The sequence below is a fragment of the Homo sapiens genome, chromosome 1 (assembly GCF_000001405.40).
Source record: "Homo sapiens chromosome 1, GRCh38.p14 Primary Assembly".
NCBI lineage: Eukaryota > Metazoa > Chordata > Mammalia > Primates > Hominidae > Homo > Homo sapiens.
This window is the reverse complement of record NC_000001.11, coordinates 145,339,001-145,365,911: the sequence shown is the minus strand read 5'-3', so window position 1 is coordinate 145,365,911 and position 26,911 is coordinate 145,339,001. Positions and strand designations below refer to the sequence as shown.

General features: G+C 44.2%; 1 protein-coding gene across 3 annotated transcripts in view; it reads left to right on the top strand.

Annotated features, from left to right (window-relative positions):
- The window catches only part of NBPF20 (NBPF member 20), a 135,704-nt gene that overhangs the window by 59,692 nt on the left and 49,101 nt on the right, over window positions 1-26,911 (top strand). For 2 of the 3 annotated variants that reach the window (NM_001278267.1, NM_001397211.1), the window contains 34 exons: window positions 447-555; window positions 1,184-1,356; window positions 2,076-2,127; window positions 2,736-2,908; window positions 3,618-3,669; window positions 4,314-4,486; window positions 5,201-5,309; window positions 5,938-6,110; window positions 6,830-6,881; window positions 7,489-7,661; window positions 8,371-8,422; window positions 9,061-9,233; window positions 9,948-10,056; window positions 10,685-10,857; window positions 11,577-11,628; window positions 12,237-12,409; window positions 13,119-13,170; window positions 13,823-13,995; window positions 14,710-14,818; window positions 15,449-15,621; window positions 16,341-16,392; window positions 17,001-17,173; window positions 17,883-17,934; window positions 18,595-18,767; window positions 19,482-19,590; window positions 20,219-20,391; window positions 21,111-21,162; window positions 21,771-21,943; window positions 22,653-22,704; window positions 23,353-23,525; window positions 24,240-24,348; window positions 24,973-25,145; window positions 25,865-25,916; window positions 26,525-26,697. In NM_001278267.1, the coding sequence (NP_001265196.1) occupies window positions 447-555; window positions 1,184-1,356; window positions 2,076-2,127; window positions 2,736-2,908; window positions 3,618-3,669; window positions 4,314-4,486; window positions 5,201-5,309; window positions 5,938-6,110; window positions 6,830-6,881; window positions 7,489-7,661; window positions 8,371-8,422; window positions 9,061-9,233; window positions 9,948-10,056; window positions 10,685-10,857; window positions 11,577-11,628; window positions 12,237-12,409; window positions 13,119-13,170; window positions 13,823-13,995; window positions 14,710-14,818; window positions 15,449-15,621; window positions 16,341-16,392; window positions 17,001-17,173; window positions 17,883-17,934; window positions 18,595-18,767; window positions 19,482-19,590; window positions 20,219-20,391; window positions 21,111-21,162; window positions 21,771-21,943; window positions 22,653-22,704; window positions 23,353-23,525; window positions 24,240-24,348; window positions 24,973-25,145; window positions 25,865-25,916; window positions 26,525-26,697 (4,167 nt within the window). The remainder of the gene's footprint in view (window positions 1-446; window positions 556-1,183; window positions 1,357-2,075; window positions 2,128-2,735; window positions 2,909-3,617; window positions 3,670-4,313; window positions 4,487-5,200; window positions 5,310-5,937; window positions 6,111-6,829; window positions 6,882-7,488; window positions 7,662-8,370; window positions 8,423-9,060; window positions 9,234-9,947; window positions 10,057-10,684; window positions 10,858-11,576; window positions 11,629-12,236; window positions 12,410-13,118; window positions 13,171-13,822; window positions 13,996-14,709; window positions 14,819-15,448; window positions 15,622-16,340; window positions 16,393-17,000; window positions 17,174-17,882; window positions 17,935-18,594; window positions 18,768-19,481; window positions 19,591-20,218; window positions 20,392-21,110; window positions 21,163-21,770; window positions 21,944-22,652; window positions 22,705-23,352; window positions 23,526-24,239; window positions 24,349-24,972; window positions 25,146-25,864; window positions 25,917-26,524; window positions 26,698-26,911) is intronic. The other variant, XM_047446015.1, reaches the window with a different exon arrangement.

Genomic DNA, 26,911 nt, shown 5'->3' with positions numbered 1-26,911 from the left:
AATTCAGAGAACTATGATTTTGACTCAAGGGTTTGTAGATTTCCTTTTTCACTCTAATTTCAGTGTCTAAAGTCCTCACAACCATGAACAATCTGAGTATTTGATGAGACAGGGCTAAATATTGCAGTTTTTCTCCTAGAAATCATTTGAGGGTATTTGCTTTAAGTTGATTGGAAAAATATGGCATAACTGTTTGCACAAACTTGGGACAAATGATATTGGGATAACGATCTACTAGAATAGGGACATTTTACCCACAGTTTCTGGGAGAAAAACCGAGGAATTTCTATCATGACCAGCCTTCAGGCCTCCTGAAATATATCTCTCACGGTGTCCTATTCTTATGCTGAGGAGCCTGAGGTCCCTGTGTGAGGATTAGACAGTGGATTGTTATGTGTGTAGGGGAATCAGCTTAATGTGTCTGTCCATGTCTGAATTTATTGCAGAAATTGAAAAGAAGGGGAAGGGGAAGAAAAGAAGGGGAAGAAGATCAAAGAAGGAAAGAAGAAGGGGAAGAAAAGAAGGGGAAGAAGATCAAACCCCACCATGCCCCAGGTGACTTTCAGCAATTGTGGATGCTTAATTCTGTGTTAACACCTGGAGGCAACAGATTCAGGGAAACCAGAGTGTGTTTGATGTCATGTTTTCAACGAAGGCTGAATTACTCCTACTGTCATTGCTGTTGGTTTTCATTGCAGTAGATGTTTAGGTTTCCATTTCTTCCTCCCCTTATCATTTCCTAACGTACCATAGGTTGACCATACTTCAAAAGCTGTACTCTCATGGCCACTGCATCGAATTTTGAGCATATTTTATGGAAAACTATTGAGCTCACTCTTTTCATGATCACAGTTTGCTGTGTGTCATGAGGGCACTAACTCAGAGTGTCCTTTTACTCCCTTACCAGTATGTCACCTGGCCAATTCACTAGGTCACTTTCTCTCTGTCTCTGTCTCTGTCTCTCTCTCTGTCTCTGTCTCTCTCTCTCTCTCTGTCTTTCTCTTTCATTGTTTTCTACCTGGCCCTGTTCTATCCCAACATAAAGGCAATAATTTGTTACCTCATTAATGGATCTGTCCTTTTTCTTTTCAAACTCTTCCTTACGTTAGCCATGAAATCTAGCTGGGGCTGTGTGGTTTCTGATTCCCCCTGGCTTATTCTTTACTTTTTCCCACTTTTCCAGGCTCAGCAGGGAGCTGCTGGATGAGAAAGGGCCTGAAGTCTTGCAGGACTCACTGGATAGAAGTTATTCAACTCCTTCAGGTTGTCTTGAACTGACTGACTCATGCCAGCCCTACAGAAGTGCCTTTTACGTATTGGAGCAACAGCGTGTTGGCTTGGCTGTTGACATGGATGGTGAGTACCTTTCTATGAAGGTGATAAGGATCCACTGAGTCTTCTGGTTAGGGTCATATTCCTACTGCAAGTGGCCCTTACTGAGCTGAGAGATGTCATTGCCACAGGGAGGTCCTATAGGCACATGTAGGTTGAATGAAACTCTAGTTCCACTTGGAAGCCCAGACAAGGGATGGGTCAGTGAGCAAGGCTCTCTTCCTAGTCTCAGGCCATGCCTGTGGCGCCCTAATCCTACTCTCATGACGTTGGACCTGGGCAGATGTGACAAATTCACACAACTCTGATTTTGTCTCAATTTTGTAGATCTTGTAGATTTCATCCTTCACTCTAATTTCAGCGTCTAAAATCCTCGCTACCGTGAACAATCTGAGTATTTGATGAGACAGGGCTGAATAGTGCAGTTTTTCTCCTAGCAACCATTTGGGGGCATTTGCTTTAAATCGATTGGAAAAATATGGCATAACCATTTGCACAAACTTGGGACAAATGATATTGGGATAACGATCTACCAGAATAGGGAATTTTACCCACAGTTTCTGGGACAAAAACCAAGGAATCTCTATGGTGATCAGCCTTCAGGCCTCCTGAAGACTATCTCTCACAGTGTCCTATTCTCATGCTGAGGAGCCTGAAGTCCCTGTGTGAGGATTAGACAGTGGATTGTTATGTGTGTAGGAGAACCAGCTTAATATGTCTGTCCATGTCTGAACTTATTGCAGAAATTGAAAAGTACCAAGAAGTGGAAGAAGACCAAGACCCATCATGCCCCAGGTAACTTTGAGCAATTATGGATGCTTAATTCTGTGTTGACACCTGGAGATGCCAGGTCCAGGGAAAACAAGAGTGTGTTCAATTTCATGTTTTCAACGAAGGTTGAATTACTCCTCCTGATATTGCTGTTGGTTTTCATTGCAGTAGATGTTTAGGTTTCCATTTCTTCCTCCCCTTATCATTTACTAACTTACTATAGGTTGACCATACCTCAAAGGCTGTATGGCAACTGCATGGAATCTTGAGCAAGTTTATGGAAAATTATTGAGCCCACTCTTTTCATGATCACTGTTCGCTGTGTGTCCCGAGGGCACTAACTCAGAGTGTCCTTTGACCCCTTCATCAGTGTGTCACCCGGCCAACTCGCTGAGCTTACTTTCTCCTCTCTCTCTCTCTCTCTCTCTCCCTCCCTCTCCCTGTCTTTCTCTTTCATTCTTTTCTACCTGGCCCTGGTCTATCCCAACATAAAGGCAATAATTCATTACCTCATTAATGGATCTGTCCTTTTTCTTTTTAAACAGTTCCTTATGTTAGCCATGAAATCTAGCTGGGGCTGTGTGGTTTCTGATTCCCCCTGGCTTATTCTTTACTTTTTCCTACTTTTCCAGGCTCAGCAGGGAGCTGCTGGATGAGAAAGAGCCTGAAGTCTTGCAGGACTCACTGGATAGATGTTATTCGACTCCTTCAGGTTATCTTGAACTGCCTGACTTAGGCCAGCCCTACAGCAGTGCTGTTTACTCATTGGAGGAACAGTACCTTGGCTTGGCTCTTGACGTGGACAGTGAGTACCTTACTGTGAAGGTGATAAGCCTCCACCTGGTCTTCCAGATAGGGGTGATATTCCTGTTCCAAGTGGCCCTTACTGACCCGAGAGATGTCATTGCCGCAGGCAGGACCTATGGGCGCATATAGGTTGTAATGAAACTGTAGTCTCAGTTGGAAGCCTAGACATGAAATGGGTCAGTGAGCAAGGCTCTATTCCTAGTCTCCAGCCATGCCTGTGGCAAGCTGAGCCCGCTCTCAGCACATTGGACCCAGGCAGATGTAAAAAATTCACAGAAGTATGATTTGGACTCAAGGGTTTGTAGATTTCCTCCTTCATTCTAATTTCAGTGTCTAAAATTCTTGCATCCATGAACGAGCTGGGCATTTGATGAGACAGGGCTGAATACTGCAGTTTTCCTCCTAGAAATCATCTGGGGCATTTTCTTTGAACTGATGGGAACAATAAGGCATAACTGTTTGCACAAACTTGGGATAAATGATTTTGGGATAACGATCTACCAGAATGGGGATATTTCACCCTTGGTTCTGAGATGCAAACCAAAGAATATCATGACCAGCTTTCAGGCCTCCTGAAGTATCTCTCTCACATTGTCCTGTTCTCATGCTGAGGAGCCTGAGATCCCTGTGTGGGGATTAGACAGTGGACTGTTATGGGTGTAGGTGAATTGGCTTATTTTGTCTGTCCCTGTCTGAATGTATTGCAGGAACTAAAAAGGACCAAGAAGAGGAAGAAGACCAAGGCCCACCATGCCCCAGGTAACTGAGCAATTGTGAACAGCTACTTCTGTGTTGACATCTGGAGACTCCTGGTTCAGGGAAAACAGAGCGGGCTGACATTATCGATTACATCTTTTCCAGCAAGCCTGAATTATTCCTACTAACATTGCTGTTGGTTTTCATTGCAGTAGATATTTAGGTTTCCATTTCTTCCTCCCCTTATCATTTACTAACCTACTGTAGGTGGACCAGACTTCAAAAACTGTATTCTCATGGCGACTGCATGGAAACTTGAGCACATTTTATGGAAAATTATTGAGCACAGTCTTTTCATGATCCCTGTATGCTGTGTGTCCTGAGGGCACTAACTCAGAGTGTCCTGTTACTCCCTCATCAGTGTGTCACCTGGACAATTCACTGAGCTCGTTCTCTCTGTGTGTGTGTGTGTGTCTGTGTGTGTGTGTGTGTGTGTGTGTGTGTGTGTGTCTATCTGTCTTTCTCTTTCATTCTTTTCCATTTGGCCCTGTTCTGTCCCAACATGAAGGCAATAATTTGTTACCTCATTAATGGATCTATCCTTTTAGTTTTTTAACCACTTCCCTATGCTACCCATGAAACCTAGTTGGGGCTCTGTTGTGTCTGATTTCCCCTGGCTTATTCTTTACTTTTTCCTCCTTTTCCAGGCTCAGCAGGGAGCTGCTGGAGGTAGTAGAGCCTGAAGTCTTGCAGGACTCACTGGATAGATGTTATTCAACTCCTTCCAGTTGTCTTGAACAGCCTGACTCCTGCCAGCCCTATGGAAGTTCCTTTTATGCATTGGAGGAAAAACATGTTGGCTTTTCTCTCGACGTGGGAGGTGAGTACCTTTCTATGAAGGTGATAAGGATCCACTGAGTCTTCCATATAAAGATCATATTCCTGCTCCAAGTGGCCATTACTGAGCTGAGAGATGTCATTGCCACAGGGAGGACCTATAGGCACATGTAGGTTGAATGAAACTCTAGTTCTACCTGGAAGCCCAGGCAAGGGATGGGTCAGTGAGCAAGACTCTCTTCCTAGTCTCAGGCCATACCTGTGGCGCCCTGATCCTATCCTCATGACATTGGACCTGGGCAGATGTGACAAATTCAGAGAACTATGATTTTGACTCAAGGGTTTGTAGATTTCCTTTTTCACTCTAATTTCAGTGTCTAAAGTCCTCACAACCATGAACAATCTGAGTATTTGATGAGACAGGGCTAAATATTGCAGTTTTTCTCCTAGAAATCATTTGAGGGTATTTGCTTTAAGTTGATTGGAAAAATATGGCATAACTGTTTGCACAAACTTGGGACAAATGATATTGGGATAACGATCTACTAGAATAGGGACATTTTACCCACAGTTTCTGGGAGAAAAACCGAGGAATTTCTATCATGACCAGCCTTCAGGCCTCCTGAAATATATCTCTCACGGTGTCCTATTCTTATGCTGAGGAGCCTGAGGTCCCTGTGTGAGGATTAGACAGTGGATTGTTATGTGTGTAGGGGAATCAGCTTAATGTGTCTGTCCATGTCTGAATTTATTGCAGAAATTGAAAAGAAGGGGAAGGGGAAGAAAAGAAGGGGAAGAAGATCAAAGAAGGAAAGAAGAAGGGGAAGAAAAGAAGGGGAAGAAGATCAAAACCCACCATGCCCCAGGTGACTTTCAGCAATTGTGGATGCTTAATTCTGTGTTAACACCTGGAGGCAACAGATTCAGGGAAACCAGAGTGTGTTTGATGTCATGTTTTCAACGAAGGCTGAATTACTCCTACTGTCATTGCTGTTGGTTTTCATTGCAGTAGATGTTTAGGTTTCCATTTCTTCCTCCCCTTATCATTTCCTAACGTACCATAGGTTGACCATACTTCAAAAGCTGTACTCTCATGGCCACTGCATCGAATTTTGAGCATATTTTATGGAAAACTATTGAGCTCACTCTTTTCATGATCACAGTTTGCTGTGTGTCATGAGGGCACTAACTCAGAGTGTCCTTTTACTCCCTTACCAGTATGTCACCTGGCCAATTCACTAGGTCACTTTCTCTCTGTCTCTGTCTCTGTCTCTCTCTCTGTCTCTGTCTCTCTCTCTCTCTCTGTCTTTCTCTTTCATTGTTTTCTACCTGGCCCTGTTCTATCCCAACATAAAGGCAATAATTTGTTACCTCATTAATGGATCTGTCCTTTTTCTTTTCAAACTCTTCCTTACGTTAGCCATGAAATCTAGCTGGGGCTGTGTGGTTTCTGATTCCCCCTGGCTTATTCTTTACTTTTTCCCACTTTTCCAGGCTCAGCAGGGAGCTGCTGGATGAGAAAGGGCCTGAAGTCTTGCAGGACTCACTGGATAGAAGTTATTCAACTCCTTCAGGTTGTCTTGAACTGACTGACTCATGCCAGCCCTACAGAAGTGCCTTTTACGTATTGGAGCAACAGCGTGTTGGCTTGGCTGTTGACATGGATGGTGAGTACCTTTCTATGAAGGTGATAAGGATCCACTGAGTCTTCTGGTTAGGGTCATATTCCTACTGCAAGTGGCCCTTACTGAGCTGAGAGATGTCATTGCCACAGGGAGGTCCTATAGGCACATGTAGGTTGAATGAAACTCTAGTTCCACTTGGAAGCCCAGACAAGGGATGGGTCAGTGAGCAAGGCTCTCTTCCTAGTCTCAGGCCATGCCTGTGGCGCCCTAATCCTACTCTCATGACGTTGGACCTGGGCAGATGTGACAAATTCACACAACTCTGATTTTGTCTCAATTTTGTAGATCTTGTAGATTTCATCCTTCACTCTAATTTCAGCGTCTAAAATCCTCGCTACCGTGAACAATCTGAGTATTTGATGAGACAGGGCTGAATAGTGCAGTTTTTCTCCTAGCAACCATTTGGGGGCATTTGCTTTAAATCGATTGGAAAAATATGGCATAACCATTTGCACAAACTTGGGACAAATGATATTGGGATAACGATCTACCAGAATAGGGAATTTTACCCACAGTTTCTGGGACAAAAACCAAGGAATCTCTATGGTGATCAGCCTTCAGGCCTCCTGAAGACTATCTCTCACAGTGTCCTATTCTCATGCTGAGGAGCCTGAAGTCCCTGTGTGAGGATTAGACAGTGGATTGTTATGTGTGTAGGAGAACCAGCTTAATATGTCTGTCCATGTCTGAACTTATTGCAGAAATTGAAAAGTACCAAGAAGTGGAAGAAGACCAAGACCCATCATGCCCCAGGTAACTTTGAGCAATTATGGATGCTTAATTCTGTGTTGACACCTGGAGATGCCAGGTCCAGGGAAAACAAGAGTGTGTTCAATTTCATGTTTTCAACGAAGGTTGAATTACTCCTCCTGATATTGCTGTTGGTTTTCATTGCAGTAGATGTTTAGGTTTCCATTTCTTCCTCCCCTTATCATTTACTAACTTACTATAGGTTGACCATACCTCAAAGGCTGTATGGCAACTGCATGGAATCTTGAGCAAGTTTATGGAAAATTATTGAGCCCACTCTTTTCATGATCACTGTTCGCTGTGTGTCCCGAGGGCACTAACTCAGAGTGTCCTTTGACCCCTTCATCAGTGTGTCACCCGGCCAACTCGCTGAGCTTACTTTCTCCTCTCTCTCTCTCTCTCTCTCTCCCTCCCTCTCCCTGTCTTTCTCTTTCATTCTTTTCTACCTGGCCCTGGTCTATCCCAACATAAAGGCAATAATTCATTACCTCATTAATGGATCTGTCCTTTTTCTTTTTAAACAGTTCCTTATGTTAGCCATGAAATCTAGCTGGGGCTGTGTGGTTTCTGATTCCCCCTGGCTTATTCTTTACTTTTTCCTACTTTCCAGGCTCAGCAGGGAGCTGCTGGATGAGAAAGAGCCTGAAGTCTTGCAGGACTCACTGGATAGATGTTATTCGACTCCTTCAGGTTATCTTGAACTGCCTGACTTAGGCCAGCCCTACAGCAGTGCTGTTTACTCATTGGAGGAACAGTACCTTGGCTTGGCTCTTGACGTGGACAGTGAGTACCTTACTGTGAAGGTGATAAGCCTCCACCTGGTCTTCCAGATAGGGGTGATATTCCTGTTCCAAGTGGCCCTTACTGACCCGAGAGATGTCATTGCCGCAGGCAGGACCTATGGGCGCATATAGGTTGTAATGAAACTGTAGTCTCAGTTGGAAGCCTAGACATGAAATGGGTCAGTGAGCAAGGCTCTATTCCTAGTCTCCAGCCATGCCTGTGGCAAGCTGAGCCCGCTCTCAGCACATTGGACCCAGGCAGATGTAAAAAATTCACAGAAGTATGATTTGGACTCAAGGGTTTGTAGATTTCCTCCTTCATTCTAATTTCAGTGTCTAAAATTCTTGCATCCATGAACGAGCTGGGCATTTGATGAGACAGGGCTGAATACTGCAGTTTTCCTCCTAGAAATCATCTGGGGCATTTTCTTTGAACTGATGGGAACAATAAGGCATAACTGTTTGCACAAACTTGGGATAAATGATTTTGGGATAACGATCTACCAGAATGGGGATATTTCACCCTTGGTTCTGAGATGCAAACCAAAGAATATCATGACCAGCTTTCAGGCCTCCTGAAGTATCTCTCTCACATTGTCCTGTTCTCATGCTGAGGAGCCTGAGATCCCTGTGTGGGGATTAGACAGTGGACTGTTATGGGTGTAGGTGAATTGGCTTATTTTGTCTGTCCCTGTCTGAATGTATTGCAGGAACTAAAAAGGACCAAGAAGAGGAAGAAGACCAAGGCCCACCATGCCCCAGGTAACTGAGCAATTGTGAACAGCTACTTCTGTGTTGACATCTGGAGACTCCTGGTTCAGGGAAAACAGAGCGGGCTGACATTATCGATTACATCTTTTCCAGCAAGCCTGAATTATTCCTACTAACATTGCTGTTGGTTTTCATTGCAGTAGATATTTAGGTTTCCATTTCTTCCTCCCCTTATCATTTACTAACCTACTGTAGGTGGACCAGACTTCAAAAACTGTATTCTCATGGCGACTGCATGGAAACTTGAGCACATTTTATGGAAAATTATTGAGCACAGTCTTTTCATGATCCCTGTATGCTGTGTGTCCTGAGGGCACTAACTCAGAGTGTCCTGTTACTCCCTCATCAGTGTGTCACCTGGACAATTCACTGAGCTCGTTCTCTCTCTCTCTGTGTGTGTGTGTGTGTGTGTGTGTGTGTGTGTGTGTGTGTCTATCTGTCTTTCTCTTTCATTCTTTTCCATTTGGCCCTGTTCTGTCCCAACATGAAGGCAATAATTTGTTACCTCATTAATGGATCTATCCTTTTAGTTTTTTAACCACTTCCCTATGCTACCCATGAAACCTAGTTGGGGCTCTGTTGTGTCTGATTTCCCCTGGCTTATTCTTTACTTTTTCCTCCTTTTCCAGGCTCAGCAGGGAGCTGCTGGAGGTAGTAGAGCCTGAAGTCTTGCAGGACTCACTGGATAGATGTTATTCAACTCCTTCCAGTTGTCTTGAACAGCCTGACTCCTGCCAGCCCTATGGAAGTTCCTTTTATGCATTGGAGGAAAAACATGTTGGCTTTTCTCTCGACGTGGGAGGTGAGTACCTTTCTATGAAGGTGATAAGGATCCACTGAGTCTTCCATATAAAGATCATATTCCTGCTCCAAGTGGCCATTACTGAGCTGAGAGATGTCATTGCCACAGGGAGGACCTATAGGCACATGTAGGTTGAATGAAACTCTAGTTCTACCTGGAAGCCCAGGCAAGGGATGGGTCAGTGAGCAAGACTCTCTTCCTAGTCTCAGGCCATACCTGTGGCGGCCTGATCCTATCCTCATGACATTGGACCTGGGCAGATGTGACAAATTCAGAGAACTATGATTTTGACTCAAGGGTTTGTAGATTTCCTTTTTCACTCTAATTTCAGTGTCTAAAGTCCTCACAACCATGAACAATCTGAGTATTTGATGAGACAGGGCTAAATATTGCAGTTTTTCTCCTAGAAATCATTTGAGGGTATTTGCTTTAAGTTGATTGGAAAAATATGGCATAACTGTTTGCACAAACTTGGGACAAATGATATTGGGATAACGATCTACTAGAATAGGGACATTTTACCCACAGTTTCTGGGAGAAAAACCGAGGAATTTCTATCATGACCAGCCTTCAGGCCTCCTGAAATATATCTCTCACGGTGTCCTATTCTTATGCTGAGGAGCCTGAGGTCCCTGTGTGAGGATTAGACAGTGGATTGTTATGTGTGTAGGGGAATCAGCTTAATGTGTCTGTCCATGTCTGAATTTATTGCAGAAATTGAAAAGAAGGGGAAGGGGAAGAAAAGAAGGGGAAGAAGATCAAAGAAGGAAAGAAGAAGGGGAAGAAAAGAAGGGGAAGAAGATCAAAACCCACCATGCCCCAGGTGACTTTCAGCAATTGTGGATGCTTAATTCTGTGTTAACACCTGGAGGCAACAGATTCAGGGAAACCAGAGTGTGTTTGATGTCATGTTTTCAACGAAGGCTGAATTACTCCTACTGTCATTGCTGTTGGTTTTCATTGCAGTAGATGTTTAGGTTTCCATTTCTTCCTCCCCTTATCATTTCCTAACGTACCATAGGTTGACCATACTTCAAAAGCTGTACTCTCATGGCCACTGCATCGAATTTTGAGCATATTTTATGGAAAACTATTGAGCTCACTCTTTTCATGATCACAGTTTGCTGTGTGTCATGAGGGCACTAACTCAGAGTGTCCTTTTACTCCCTTACCAGTATGTCACCTGGCCAATTCACTAGGTCACTTTCTCTCTGTCTCTGTCTCTGTCTCTCTCTCTGTCTCTGTCTCTCTCTCTCTCTCTGTCTTTCTCTTTCATTGTTTTCTACCTGGCCCTGTTCTATCCCAACATAAAGGCAATAATTTGTTACCTCATTAATGGATCTGTCCTTTTTCTTTTCAAACTCTTCCTTACGTTAGCCATGAAATCTAGCTGGGGCTGTGTGGTTTCTGATTCCCCCTGGCTTATTCTTTACTTTTTCCCACTTTTCCAGGCTCAGCAGGGAGCTGCTGGATGAGAAAGGGCCTGAAGTCTTGCAGGACTCACTGGATAGATGTTATTCAACTCCTTCAGGTTGTCTTGAACTGACTGACTCATGCCAGCCCTACAGAAGTGCCTTTTACGTATTGGAGCAACAGCGTGTTGGCTTGGCTGTTGACATGGATGGTGAGTACCTTTCTATGAAGGTGATAAGGATCCACTGAGTCTTCTGGTTAGGGTCATATTCCTACTGCAAGTGGCCCTTACTGAGCTGAGAGATGTCATTGCCACAGGGAGGTCCTATAGGCACATGTAGGTTGAATGAAACTCTAGTTCCACTTGGAAGCCCAGACAAGGGATGGGTCAGTGAGCAAGGCTCTCTTCCTAGTCTCAGGCCATGCCTGTGGCGCCCTAATCCTACTCTCATGACGTTGGACCTGGGCAGATGTGACAAATTCACACAACTCTGATTTTGTCTCAATTTTGTAGATCTTGTAGATTTCATCCTTCACTCTAATTTCAGCGTCTAAAATCCTCGCTACCGTGAACAATCTGAGTATTTGATGAGACAGGGCTGAATAGTGCAGTTTTTCTCCTAGCAACCATTTGGGGGCATTTGCTTTAAATCGATTGGAAAAATATGGCATAACCATTTGCACAAACTTGGGACAAATGATATTGGGATAACGATCTACCAGAATAGGGAATTTTACCCACAGTTTCTGGGACAAAAACCAAGGAATCTCTATGGTGATCAGCCTTCAGGCCTCCTGAAGACTATCTCTCACAGTGTCCTATTCTCATGCTGAGGAGCCTGAAGTCCCTGTGTGAGGATTAGACAGTGGATTGTTATGTGTGTAGGAGAACCAGCTTAATATGTCTGTCCATGTCTGAACTTATTGCAGAAATTGAAAAGTACCAAGAAGTGGAAGAAGACCAAGACCCATCATGCCCCAGGTAACTTTGAGCAATTATGGATGCTTAATTCTGTGTTGACACCTGGAGATGCCAGGTCCAGGGAAAACAAGAGTGTGTTCAATTTCATGTTTTCAACGAAGGTTGAATTACTCCTCCTGATATTGCTGTTGGTTTTCATTGCAGTAGATGTTTAGGTTTCCATTTCTTCCTCCCCTTATCATTTACTAACTTACTATAGGTTGACCATACCTCAAAGGCTGTATGGCAACTGCATGGAATCTTGAGCAAGTTTATGGAAAATTATTGAGCCCACTCTTTTCATGATCACTGTTCGCTGTGTGTCCCGAGGGCACTAACTCAGAGTGTCCTTTGACCCCTTCATCAGTGTGTCACCCGGCCAACTCGCTGAGCTTACTTTCTCCTCTCTCTCTCTCTCTCTCTCTCCCTCCCTCTCCCTGTCTTTCTCTTTCATTCTTTTCTACCTGGCCCTGGTCTATCCCAACATAAAGGCAATAATTCATTACCTCATTAATGGATCTGTCCTTTTTCTTTTTAAACAGTTCCTTATGTTAGCCATGAAATCTAGCTGGGGCTGTGTGGTTTCTGATTCCCCCTGGCTTATTCTTTACTTTTTCCTACTTTTCCAGGCTCAGCAGGGAGCTGCTGGATGAGAAAGAGCCTGAAGTCTTGCAGGACTCACTGGATAGATGTTATTCGACTCCTTCAGGTTATCTTGAACTGCCTGACTTAGGCCAGCCCTACAGCAGTGCTGTTTACTCATTGGAGGAACAGTACCTTGGCTTGGCTCTTGACGTGGACAGTGAGTACCTTACTGTGAAGGTGATAAGCCTCCACCTGGTCTTCCAGATAGGGGTGATATTCCTGTTCCAAGTGGCCCTTACTGACCCGAGAGATGTCATTGCCGCAGGCAGGACCTATGGGCGCATATAGGTTGTAATGAAACTGTAGTCTCAGTTGGAAGCCTAGACATGAAATGGGTCAGTGAGCAAGGCTCTATTACTAGTCTCCAGCCATGCCTGTGGCAAGCTGAGCCCGCTCTCAGCACATTGGACCCAGGCAGATGTAAAAAATTCACAGAAGTATGATTTGGACTGAAGGGTTTGTAGATTTCCTCCTTCATTCTAATTTCAGTGTCTAAAATTCTTGCATCCATGAACGAGCTGGGCATTTGATGAGACAGGGCTGAATACTGCAGTTTTCCTCCTAGAAATCATCTGGGGCATTTTCTTTGAACTGATGGGAACAATAAGGCATAACTGTTTGCACAAACTTGGGATAAATGATTTTGGGATAACGATCTACCAGAATGGGGATATTTCACCCTTGGTTCTGAGATGCAAACCAAAGAATATCATGACCAGCTTTCAGGCCTCCTGAAGTATCTCTCTCACATTGTCCTGTTCTCATGCTGAGGAGCCTGAGATCCCTGTGTGGGGATTAGACAGTGGACTGTTATGGGTGTAGGTGAATTGGCTTATTTTGTCTGTCCCTGTCTGAATGTATTGCAGGAACTAAAAAGGACCAAGAAGAGGAAGAAGACCAAGGCCCACCATGCCCCAGGTAACTGAGCAATTGTGAACAGCTACTTCTGTGTTGACATCTGGAGACTCCTGGTTCAGGGAAAACAGAGCGGGCTGACATTATCGATTACATCTTTTCCAGCAAGCCTGAATTATTCCTACTAACATTGCTGTTGGTTTTCATTGCAGTAGATATTTAGGTTTCCATTTCTTCCTCCCCTTATCATTTACTAACCTACTGTAGGTGGACCAGACTTCAAAAACTGTATTCTCATGGCGACTGCATGGAAACTTGAGCACATTTTATGGAAAATTATTGAGCACAGTCTTTTCATGATCCCTGTATGCTGTGTGTCCTGAGGGCACTAACTCAGAGTGTCCTGTTACTCCCTCATCAGTGTGTCACCTGGACAATTCACTGAGCTCGTTCTCTCTGTGTGTGTGTGTGTGTCTGTGTGTGTGTGTGTGTGTGTGTGTGTGTGTGTGTGTGTGTGTCTATCTGTCTTTCTCTTTCATTCTTTTCCATTTGGCCCTGTTCTGTCCCAACATGAAGGCAATAATTTGTTACCTCATTAATGGATCTATCCTTTTAGTTTTTTAACCACTTCCCTATGCTACCCATGAAACCTAGTTGGGGCTCTGTTGTGTCTGATTTCCCCTGGCTTATTCTTTACTTTTTCCTCCTTTTCCAGGCTCAGCAGGGAGCTGCTGGAGGTAGTAGAGCCTGAAGTCTTGCAGGACTCACTGGATAGATGTTATTCAACTCCTTCCAGTTGTCTTGAACAGCCTGACTCCTGCCAGCCCTATGGAAGTTCCTTTTATGCATTGGAGGAAAAACATGTTGGCTTTTCTCTCGACGTGGGAGGTGAGTACCTTTCTATGAAGGTGATAAGGATCCACTGAGTCTTCCATATAAAGATCATATTCCTGCTCCAAGTGGCCATTACTGAGCTGAGAGATGTCATTGCCACAGGGAGGACCTATAGGCACATGTAGGTTGAATGAAACTCTAGTTCTACCTGGAAGCCCAGGCAAGGGATGGGTCAGTGAGCAAGACTCTCTTCCTAGTCTCAGGCCATACCTGTGGCGCCCTGATCCTATCCTCATGACATTGGACCTGGGCAGATGTGACAAATTCAGAGAACTATGATTTTGACTCAAGGGTTTGTAGATTTCCTTTTTCACTCTAATTTCAGTGTCTAAAGTCCTCACAACCATGAACAATCTGAGTATTTGATGAGACAGGGCTAAATATTGCAGTTTTTCTCCTAGAAATCATTTGAGGGTATTTGCTTTAAGTTGATTGGAAAAATATGGCATAACTGTTTGCACAAACTTGGGACAAATGATATTGGGATAACGATCTACTAGAATAGGGACATTTTACCCACAGTTTCTGGGAGAAAAACCGAGGAATTTCTATCATGACCAGCCTTCAGGCCTCCTGAAATATATCTCTCACGGTGTCCTATTCTTATGCTGAGGAGCCTGAGGTCCCTGCGTGAGGATTAGACAGTGGATTGTTATGTGTGTAGGGGAATCAGCTTAATGTGTCTGTCCATGTCTGAATTTATTGCAGAAATTGAAAAGAAGGGGAAGGGGAAGAAAAGAAGGGGAAGAAGATCAAAGAAGGAAAGAAGAAGGGGAAGAAAAGAAGGGGAAGAAGATCAAAACCCACCATGCCCCAGGTGACTTTCAGCAATTGTGGATGCTTAATTCTGTGTTAACACCTGGAGGCAACAGATTCAGGGAAACCAGAGTGTGTTTGATGTCATGTTTTCAACGAAGGCTGAATTACTCCTACTGTCATTGCTGTTGGTTTTCATTGCAGTAGATGTTTAGGTTTCCATTTCTTCCTCCCCTTATCATTTCCTAACGTACCATAGGTTGACCATACTTCAAAAGCTGTACTCTCATGGCCACTGCATCGAATTTTGAGCATATTTTATGGAAAACTATTGAGCTCACTCTTTTCATGATCACAGTTTGCTGTGTGTCATGAGGGCACTAACTCAGAGTGTCCTTTTACTCCCTTACCAGTATGTCACCTGGCCAATTCACTAGGTCACTTTCTCTCTGTCTCTGTCTCTGTCTCTCTCTCTCTGTCTCTGTCTCTCTCTCTCTCTCTGTCTTTCTCTTTCATTGTTTTCTACCTGGCCCTGTTCTATCCCAACATAAAGGCAATAATTTGTTACCTCATTAATGGATCTGTCCTTTTTCTTTTCAAACTCTTCCTTACGTTAGCCATGAAATCTAGCTGGGGCTGTGTGGTTTCTGATTCCCCCTGGCTTATTCTTTACTTTTTCCCACTTTTCCAGGCTCAGCAGGGAGCTGCTGGATGAGAAAGGGCCTGAAGTCTTGCAGGACTCACTGGATAGATGTTATTCAACTCCTTCAGGTTGTCTTGAACTGACTGACTCATGCCAGCCCTACAGAAGTGCCTTTTACGTATTGGAGCAACAGCGTGTTGGCTTGGCTGTTGACATGGATGGTGAGTACCTTTCTATGAAGGTGATAAGGATCCACTGAGTCTTCTGGTTAGGGTCATATTCCTACTGCAAGTGGCCCTTACTGAGCTGAGAGATGTCATTGCCACAGGGAGGTCCTATAGGCACATGTAGGTTGAATGAAACTCTAGTTCCACTTGGAAGCCCAGACAAGGGATGGGTCAGTGAGCAAGGCTCTCTTCCTAGTCTCAGGCCATGCCTGTGGCGCCCTAATCCTACTCTCATGACGTTGGACCTGGGCAGATGTGACAAATTCACACAACTCTGATTTTGTCTCAATTTTGTAGATCTTGTAGATTTCATCCTTCACTCTAATTTCAGTGTCTAAAATCCTCGCTACCGTGAACAATCTGAGTATTTGATGAGACAGGGCTGAATAGTGCAGTTTTTCTCCTAGCAACCATTTGGGGGCATTTGCTTTAAATCGATTGGAAAAATATGGCATAACCATTTGCACAAACTTGGGACAAATGATATTGGGATAACGATCTACCAGAATAGGGAATTTTACCCACAGTTTCTGGGACAAAAACCAAGGAATCTCTATGGTGATCAGCCTTCAGGCCTCCTGAAGACTATCTCTCACAGTGTCCTATTCTCATGCTGAGGAGCCTGAAGTCCCTGTGTGAGGATTAGACAGTGGATTGTTATGTGTGTAGGAGAACCAGCTTAATATGTCTGTCCATGTCTGAACTTATTGCAGAAATTGAAAAGTACCAAGAAGTGGAAGAAGACCAAGACCCATCATGCCCCAGGTAACTTTGAGCAATTATGGATGCTTAATTCTGTGTTGACACCTGGAGATGCCAGGTCCAGGGAAAACAAGAGTGTGTTCAATTTCATGTTTTCAACGAAGGTTGAATTACTCCTCCTGATATTGCTGTTGGTTTTCATTGCAGTAGATGTTTAGGTTTCCATTTCTTCCTCCCCTTATCATTTACTAACTTACTATAGGTTGACCATACCTCAAAGGCTGTATGGCAACTGCATGGAATCTTGAGCAAGTTTATGGAAAATTATTGAGCCCACTCTTTTCATGATCACTGTTCGCTGTGTGTCCCGAGGGCACTAACTCAGAGTGTCCTTTGACCCCTTCATCAGTGTGTCACCCGGCCAACTCGCTGAGCTTACTTTCTCCTCTCTCTCTCTCTCTCTCTCTCCCTCCCTCTCCCTGTCTTTCTCTTTCATTCTTTTCTACCTGGCCCTGGTCTATCCCAACATAAAGGCAATAATTCATTACCTCATTAATGGATCTGTCCTTTTTCTTTTTAAACAGTTCCTTATGTTAGCCATGAAATCTAGCTGGGGCTGTGTGGTTTCTGATTCCCCCTGGCTTATTCTTTACTTTTTCCTACTTTTCCAGGCTCAGCAGGGAGCTGCTGGATGAGAAAGAGCCTGAAGTCTTGCAGGACTCACTGGATAGATGTTATTCGACTCCTTCAGGTTATCTTGAACTGCCTGACTTAGGCCAGCCCTACAGCAGTGCTGTTTACTCATTGGAGGAACAGTACCTTGGCTTGGCTCTTGACGTGGACAGTGAGTACCTTACTGTGAAGGTGATAAGCCTCCACCTGGTCTTCCAGATAGGGGTGATATTCCTGTTCCAAGTGGCCCTTACTGACCCGAGAGATGTCATTGCCGCAGGCAGGACCTATGGGCGCATATAGGTTGTAATGAAACTGTAGTCTCAGTTGGAAGCCTAGACATGAAATGGGTCAGTGAGCAAGGCTCTATTACTAGTCTCCAGCCATGCCTGTGGCAAGCTGAGCCCGCTCTCAGCACATTGGACCCAGGCAGATGTAAAAAATTCACAGAAGTATGATTTGGACTGAAGGGTTTGTAGATTTCCTCCTTCATTCTAATTTCAGTGTCTAAAATTCTTGCATCCATGAACGAGCTGGGCATTTGATGAGACAGGGCTGAATACTGCAGTTTTCCTCCTAGAAATCATCTGGGGCATTTTCTTTGAACTGATGGGAACAATAAGGCATAACTGTTTGCACAAACTTGGGATAAATGATTTTGGGATAACGATCTACCAGAATGGGGATATTTCACCCTTGGTTCTGAGATGCAAACCAAAGAATATCATGACCAGCTTTCAGGCCTCCTGAAGTATCTCTCTCACATTGTCCTGTTCTCATGCTGAGGAGCCTGAGATCCCTGTGTGGGGATTAGACAGTGGACTGTTATGGGTGTAGGTGAATTGGCTTATTTTGTCTGTCCCTGTCTGAATGTATTGCAGGAACTAAAAAGGACCAAGAAGAGGAAGAAGACCAAGGCCCACCATGCCCCAGGTAACTGAGCAATTGTGAACAGCTACTTCTGTGTTGACATCTGGAGACTCCTGGTTCAGGGAAAACAGAGCGGGCTGACATTATCGATTACATCTTTTCCAGCAAGCCTGAATTATTCCTACTAACATTGCTGTTGGTTTTCATTGCAGTAGATATTTAGGTTTCCATTTCTTCCTCCCCTTATCATTTACTAACCTACTGTAGGTGGACCAGACTTCAAAAACTGTATTCTCATGGCGACTGCATGGAAACTTGAGCACATTTTATGGAAAATTATTGAGCACAGTCTTTTCATGATCCCTGTATGCTGTGTGTCCTGAGGGCACTAACTCAGAGTGTCCTGTTACTCCCTCATCAGTGTGTCACCTGGACAATTCACTGAGCTCGTTCTCTCTCTGTGTGTGTGTTTGTCTGTGTGTGTGTCTGTGTGTGTGTGTGTGTGTGTGTGTGTGTGTGTGTGTGTCTATCTGTCTTTCTCTTTCATTCTTTTCCATTTGGCCCTGTTCTGTCCCAACATGAAGGCAATAATTTGTTACCTCATTAATGGATCTATCCTTTTAGTTTTTTAACCACTTCCCTATGCTACCCATGAAACCTAGTTGGGGCTCTGTTGTGTCTGATTTCCCCTGGCTTATTCTTTACTTTTTCCTCCTTTTCCAGGCTCAGCAGGGAGCTGCTGGAGGTAGTAGAGCCTGAAGTCTTGCAGGACTCACTGGATAGATGTTATTCAACTCCTTCCAGTTGTCTTGAACAGCCTGACTCCTGCCAGCCCTATGGAAGTTCCTTTTATGCATTGGAGGAAAAACATGTTGGCTTTTCTCTCGACGTGGGAGGTGAGTACCTTTCTATGAAGGTGATAAGGATCCACTGAGTCTTCCATATAAAGATCATATTCCTGCTCCAAGTGGCCATTACTGAGCTGAGAGATGTCATTGCCACAGGGAGGACCTATAGGCACATGTAGGTTGAATGAAACTCTAGTTCTACCTGGAAGCCCAGGCAAGGGATGGGTCAGTGAGCAAGACTCTCTTCCTAGTCTCAGGCCATACCTGTGGCGCCCTGATCCTATCCTCATGACATTGGACCTGGGCAGATGTGACAAATTCAGAGAACTATGATTTTGACTCAAGGGTTTGTAGATTTCCTTTTTCACTCTAATTTCAGTGTCTAAAGTCCTCACAACCATGAACAATCTGAGTATTTGATGAGACAGGGCTAAATATTGCAGTTTTTCTCCTAGAAATCATTTGAGGGTATTTGCTTTAAGTTGATTGGAAAAATATGGCATAACTGTTTGCACAAACTTGGGACAAATGATATTGGGATAACGATCTACTAGAATAGGGACATTTTACCCACAGTTTCTGGGAGAAAAACCGAGGAATTTCTATCATGACCAGCCTTCAGGCCTCCTGAAATATATCTCTCACGGTGTCCTATTCTTATGCTGAGGAGCCTGAGGTCCCTGCGTGAGGATTAGACAGTGGATTGTTATGTGTGTAGGGGAATCAGCTTAATGTGTCTGTCCATGTCTGAATTTATTGCAGAAATTGAAAAGAAGGGGAAGGGGAAGAAAAGAAGGGGAAGAAGATCAAAGAAGGAAAGAAGAAGGGGAAGAAAAGAAGGGGAAGAAGATCAAAACCCACCATGCCCCAGGTGACTTTCAGCAATTGTGTATGCTTAATTCTGTGTTAACACCTGGAGGCAACAGATTCAGGGAAACCAGAGTGTGTTTGATGTCATGTTTTCAACGAAGGCTGAATTACTCCTACTGTCATTGCTGTTGGTTTTCATTGCAGTAGATGTTTAGGTTTCCATTTCTTCCTCCCCTTATCATTTCCTAACGTACCATAGGTTGACCATACTTCAAAAGCTGTACTCTCATGGCCACTGCATCGAATTTTGAGCATATTTTATGGAAAACTATTGAGCTCACTCTTTTCATGATCACAGTTTGCTGTGTGTCATGAGGGCACTAACTCAGAGTGTCCTTTTACTCCCTTACCAGTATGTCACCTGGCCAATTCACTAGGTCACTTTCTCTCTGTCTCTGTCTCTGTCTCTCTCTCTGTCTCTGTCTCTCTCTCTCTCTCTGTCTTTCTCTTTCATTGTTTTCTACCTGGCCCTGTTCTATCCCAACATAAAGGCAATAATTTGTTACCTCATTAATGGATCTGTCCTTTTTCTTTTCAAACTCTTCCTTACGTTAGCCATGAAATCTAGCTGGGGCTGTGTGGTTTCTGATTCCCCCTGGCTTATTCTTTACTTTTTCCCACTTTTCCAGGCTCAGCAGGGAGCTGCTGGATGAGAAAGGGCCTGAAGTCTTGCAGGACTCACTGGATAGATGTTATTCAACTCCTTCAGGTTGTCTTGAACTGACTGACTCATGCCAGCCCTACAGAAGTGCCTTTTACGTATTGGAGCAACAGCGTGTTGGCTTGGCTGTTGACATGGATGGTGAGTACCTTTCTATGAAGGTGATAAGGATCCACTGAGTCTTCTGGTTAGGGTCATATTCCTACTGCAAGTGGCCCTTACTGAGCTGAGAGATGTCATTGCCACAGGGAGGTCCTATAGGCACATGTAGGTTGAATGAAACTCTAGTTCCACTTGGAAGCCCAGACAAGGGATGGGTCAGTGAGCAAGGCTCTCTTCCTAGTCTCAGGCCATGCCTGTGGCGCCCTAATCCTACTCTCATGACGTTGGACCTGGGCAGATGTGACAAATTCACACAACTCTGATTTTGTCTCAATTTTGTAGATCTTGTAGATTTCATCCTTCACTCTAATTTCAGCGTCTAAAATCCTCGCTACCGTGAACAATCTGAGTATTTGATGAGACAGGGCTGAATAGTGCAGTTTTTCTCCTAGCAACCATTTGGGGGCATTTGCTTTAAATCGATTGGAAAAATATGGCATAACCATTTGCACAAACTTGGGACAAATGATATTGGGATAACGATCTACCAGAATAGGGAATTTTACCCACAGTTTCTGGGACAAAAACCAAGGAATCTCTATGGTGATCAGCCTTCAGGCCTCCTGAAGACTATCTCTCACAGTGTCCTATTCTCATGCTGAGGAGCCTGAAGTCCCTGTGTGAGGATTAGACAGTGGATTGTTATGTGTGTAGGAGAACCAGCTTAATATGTCTGTCCATGTCTGAACTTATTGCAGAAATTGAAAAGTACCAAGAAGTGGAAGAAGACCAAGACCCATCATGCCCCAGGTAACTTTGAGCAATTATGGATGCTTAATTCTGTGTTGACACCTGGAGATGCCAGGTCCAGGGAAAACAAGAGTGTGTTCAATTTCATGTTTTCAACGAAGGTTGAATTACTCCTCCTGATATTGCTGTTGGTTTTCATTGCAGTAGATGTTTAGGTTTCCATTTCTTCCTCCCCTTATCATTTACTAACTTACTATAGGTTGACCATACCTCAAAGGCTGTATGGCAACTGCATGGAATCTTGAGCAAGTTTATGGAAAATTATTGAGCCCACTCTTTTCATGATCACTGTTCGCTGTGTGTCCCGAGGGCACTAACTCAGAGTGTCCTTTGACCCCTTCATCAGTGTGTCACCCGGCCAACTCGCTGAGCTTACTTTCTCCTCTCTCTCTCTCTCTCTCTCTCCCTCCCTCTCCCTGTCTTTCTCTTTCATTCTTTTCTACCTGGCCCTGGTCTATCCCAACATAAAGGCAATAATTCATTACCTCATTAATGGATCTGTCCTTTTTCTTTTTAAACAGTTCCTTATGTTAGCCATGAAATCTAGCTGGGGCTGTGTGGTTTCTGATTCCCCCTGGCTTATTCTTTACTTTTTCCTACTTTTCCAGGCTCAGCAGGGAGCTGCTGGATGAGAAAGAGCCTGAAGTCTTGCAGGACTCACTGGATAGATGTTATTCGACTCCTTCAGGTTATCTTGAACTGCCTGACTTAGGCCAGCCCTACAGCAGTGCTGTTTACTCATTGGAGGAACAGTACCTTGGCTTGGCTCTTGACGTGGACAGTGAGTACCTTACTGTGAAGGTGATAAGCCTCCACCTGGTCTTCCAGATAGGGGTGATATTCCTGTTCCAAGTGGCCCTTACTGACCCGAGAGATGTCATTGCCGCAGGCAGGACCTATGGGCGCATATAGGTTGTAATGAAACTGTAGTCTCAGTTGGAAGCCTAGACATGAAATGGGTCAGTGAGCAAGGCTCTATTCCTAGTCTCCAGCCATGCCTGTGGCAAGCTGAGCCCGCTCTCAGCACATTGGACCCAGGCAGATGTAAAAAATTCACAGAAGTATGATTTGGACTGAAGGGTTTGTAGATTTCCTCCTTCATTCTAATTTCAGTGTCTAAAATTCTTGCATCCATGAACGAGCTGGGCATTTGATGAGACAGGGCTGAATACTGCAGTTTTCCTCCTAGAAATCATCTGGGGCATTTTCTTTGAACTGATGGGAACAATAAGGCATAACTGTTTGCACAAACTTGGGATAAATGATTTTGGGATAACGATCTACCAGAATGGGGATATTTCACCCTTGGTTCTGAGATGCAAACCAAAGAATATCATGACCAGCTTTCAGGCCTCCTGAAGTATCTCTCTCACATTGTCCTGTTCTCATGCTGAGGAGCCTGAGATCCCTGTGTGGGGATTAGACAGTGGACTGTTATGGGTGTAGGTGAATTGGCTTATTTTGTCTGTCCCTGTCTGAATGTATTGCAGGAACTAAAAAGGACCAAGAAGAGGAAGAAGACCAAGGCCCACCATGCCCCAGGTAACTGAGCAATTGTGAACAGCTACTTCTGTGTTGACATCTGGAGACTCCTGGTTCAGGGAAAACAGAGCGGGCTGACATTATCGATTACATCTTTTCCAGCAAGCCTGAATTATTCCTACTAACATTGCTGTTGGTTTTCATTGCAGTAGATATTTAGGTTTCCATTTCTTCCTCCCCTTATCATTTACTAACCTACTGTAGGTGGACCAGACTTCAAAAACTGTATTCTCATGGCGACTGCATGGAAACTTGAGCACATTTTATGGAAAATTATTGAGCACAGTCTTTTCATGATCCCTGTATGCTGTGTGTCCTGAGGGCACTAACTCAGAGTGTCCTGTTACTCCCTCATCAGTGTGTCACCTGGACAATTCACTGAGCTCGTTCTCTCTGTGTGTGTGTGTGTGTCTGTGTGTGTGTGTGTGTGTGTGTGTGTGTGTGTGTGTGTCTATCTGTCTTTCTCTTTCATTCTTTTCCATTTGGCCCTGTTCTGTCCCAACATGAAGGCAATAATTTGTTACCTCATTAATGGATCTATCCTTTTAGTTTTTTAACCACTTCCCTATGCTACCCATGAAACCTAGTTGGGGCTCTGTTGTGTCTGATTTCCCCTGGCTTATTCTTTACTTTTTCCTCCTTTTCCAGGCTCAGCAGGGAGCTGCTGGAGGTAGTAGAGCCTGAAGTCTTGCAGGACTCACTGGATAGATGTTATTCAACTCCTTCCAGTTGTCTTGAACAGCCTGACTCCTGCCAGCCCTATGGAAGTTCCTTTTATGCATTGGAGGAAAAACATGTTGGCTTTTCTCTCGACGTGGGAGGTGAGTACCTTTCTATGAAGGTGATAAGGATCCACTGAGTCTTCCATATAAAGATCATATTCCTGCTCCAAGTGGCCATTACTGAGCTGAGAGATGTCATTGCCACAGGGAGGACCTATAGGCACATGTAGGTTGAATGAAACTCTAGTTCTACCTGGAAGCCCAGGCAAGGGATGGGTCAGTGAGCAAGACTCTCTTCCTAGTCTCAGGCCATACCTGTGGCGCCCTGATCCTATCCTCATGACATTGGACCTGGGCAGATGTGACAAATTCAGAGAACTATGATTTTGACTCAAGGGTTTGTAGATTTCCTTTTTCACTCTAATTTCAGTGTCTAAAGTCCTCACAACCATGAACAATCTGAGTATTTGATGAGACAGGGCTAAATATTGCAGTTTTTCTCCTAGAAATCATTTGAGGGTATTTGCTTTAAGTTGATTGGAAAAATATGGCATAACTGTTTGCACAAACTTGGGACAAATGATATTGGGATAACGATCTACTAGAATAGGGACATTTTACCCACAGTTTCTGGGAGAAAAACCGAGGAATTTCTATCATGACCAGCCTTCAGGCCTCCTGAAATATATCTCTCACGGTGTCCTATTCTTATGCTGAGGAGCCTGAGGTCCCTGTGTGAGGATTAGACAGTGGATTGTTATGTGTGTAGGGGAATCAGCTTAATGTGTCTGTCCATGTCTGAATTTATTGCAGAAATTGAAAAGAAGGGGAAGGGGAAGAAAAGAAGGGGAAGAAGATCAAAGAAGGAAAGAAGAAGGGGAAGAAAAGAAGGGGAAGAAGATCAAAACCCACCATGCCCCAGGTGACTTTCAGCAATTGTGGATGCTTAATTCTGTGTTAACACCTGGAGGCAACAGATTCAGGGAAACCAGAGTGTGTTTGATGTCATGTTTTCAACGAAGGCTGAATTACTCCTACTGTCATTGCTGTTGGTTTTCATTGCAGTAGATGTTTAGGTTTCCATTTCTTCCTCCCCTTATCATTTCCTAACGTACCATAGGTTGACCATACTTCAAAAGCTGTACTCTCATGGCCACTGCATCGAATTTTGAGCATATTTTATGGAAAACTATTGAGCTCACTCTTTTCATGATCACAGTTTGCTGTGTGTCATGAGGGCACTAACTCAGAGTGTCCTTTTACTCCCTTACCAGTATGTCACCTGGCCAATTCACTAGGTCACTTTCTCTCTGTCTCTGTCTCTGTCTCTCTCTCTGTCTCTGTCTCTCTCTCTCTGTCTTTCTCTTTCATTGTTTTCTACCTGGCCCTGTTCTATCCCAACATAAAGGCAATAATTTGTTACCTCATTAATGGATCTGTCCTTTTTCTTTTCAAACTCTTCCTTACGTTAGCCATGAAATCTAGCTGGGGCTGTGTGGTTTCTGATTCCCCCTGGCTTATTCTTTACTTTTTCCCACTTTTCCAGGCTCAGCAGGGAGCTGCTGGATGAGAAAGGGCCTGAAGTCTTGCAGGACTCACTGGATAGAAGTTATTCAACTCCTTCAGGTTGTCTTGAACTGACTGACTCATGCCAGCCCTACAGAAGTGCCTTTTACGTATTGGAGCAACAGCGTGTTGGCTTGGCTGTTGACATGGATGGTGAGTACCTTTCTATGAAGGTGATAAGGATCCACTGAGTCTTCTGGTTAGGGTCATATTCCTACTGCAAGTGGCCCTTACTGAGCTGAGAGATGTCATTGCCACAGGGAGGTCCTATAGGCACATGTAGGTTGAATGAAACTCTAGTTCCACTTGGAAGCCCAGACAAGGGATGGGTCAGTGAGCAAGGCTCTCTTCCTAGTCTCAGGCCATGCCTGTGGCGCCCTAATCCTACTCTCATGACGTTGGACCTGGGCAGATGTGACAAATTCACACAACTCTGATTTTGTCTCAATTTTGTAGATCTTGTAGATTTCATCCTTCACTCTAATTTCAGCGTCTAAAATCCTCGCTACCGTGAACAATCTGAGTATTTGATGAGACAGGGCTGAATAGTGCAGTTTTTCTCCTAGCAACCATTTGGGGGCATTTGCTTTAAATCGATTGGAAAAATATGGCATAACCATTTGCACAAACTTGGGACAAATGATATTGGGATAACGATCTACCAGAATAGGGAATTTTACCCACAGTTTCTGGGACAAAAACCAAGGAATCTCTATGGTGATCAGCCTTCAGGCCTCCTGAAGACTATCTCTCACAGTGTCCTATTCTCATGCTGAGGAGCCTGAAGTCCCTGTGTGAGGATTAGACAGTGGATTGTTATGTGTGTAGGAGAACCAGCTTAATATGTCTGTCCATGTCTGAACTTATTGCAGAAATTGAAAAGTACCAAGAAGTGGAAGAAGACCAAGACCCATCATGCCCCAGGTAACTTTGAGCAATTATGGATGCTTAATTCTGTGTTGACACCTGGAGATGCCAGGTCCAGGGAAAACAAGAGTGTGTTCAATTTCATGTTTTCAACGAAGGTTGAATTACTCCTCCTGATATTGCTGTTGGTTTTCATTGCAGTAGATGTTTAGGTTTCCATTTCTTCCTCCCCTTATCATTTACTAACTTACTATAGGTTGACCATACCTCAAAGGCTGTATGGCAACTGCATGGAATCTTGAGCAAGTTTATGGAAAATTATTGAGCCCACTCTTTTCATGATCACTGTTCGCTGTGTGTCCCGAGGGCACTAACTCAGAGTGTCCTTTGACCCCTTCATCAGTGTGTCACCCGGCCAACTCGCTGAGCTTACTTTCTCCTCTCTCTCTCTCTCTCTCTCTCCCTCCCTCTCCCTGTCTTTCTCTTTCATTCTTTTCTACCTGGCCCTGGTCTATCCCAACATAAAGGCAATAATTCATTACCTCATTAATGGATCTGTCCTTTTTCTTTTTAAACAGTTCCTTATGTTAGCCATGAAATCTAGCTGGGGCTGTGTGGTTTCTGATTCCCCCTGGCTTATTCTTTACTTTTTCCTACTTTTCCAGGCTCAGCAGGGAGCTGCTGGATGAGAAAGAGCCTGAAGTCTTGCAGGACTCACTGGATAGATGTTATTCGACTCCTTCAGGTTATCTTGAACTGCCTGACTTAGGCCAGCCCTACAGCAGTGCTGTTTACTCATTGGAGGAACAGTACCTTGGCTTGGCTCTTGACGTGGACAGTGAGTACCTTACTGTGAAGGTGATAAGCCTCCACCTGGTCTTCCAGATAGGGGTGATATTCCTGTTCCAAGTGGCCCTTACTGACCCGAGAGATGTCATTGCCGCAGGCAGGACCTATGGGCGCATATAGGTTGTAATGAAACTGTAGTCTCAGTTGGAAGCCTAGACATGAAATGGGTCAGTGAGCAAGGCTCTATTCCTAGTCTCCAGCCA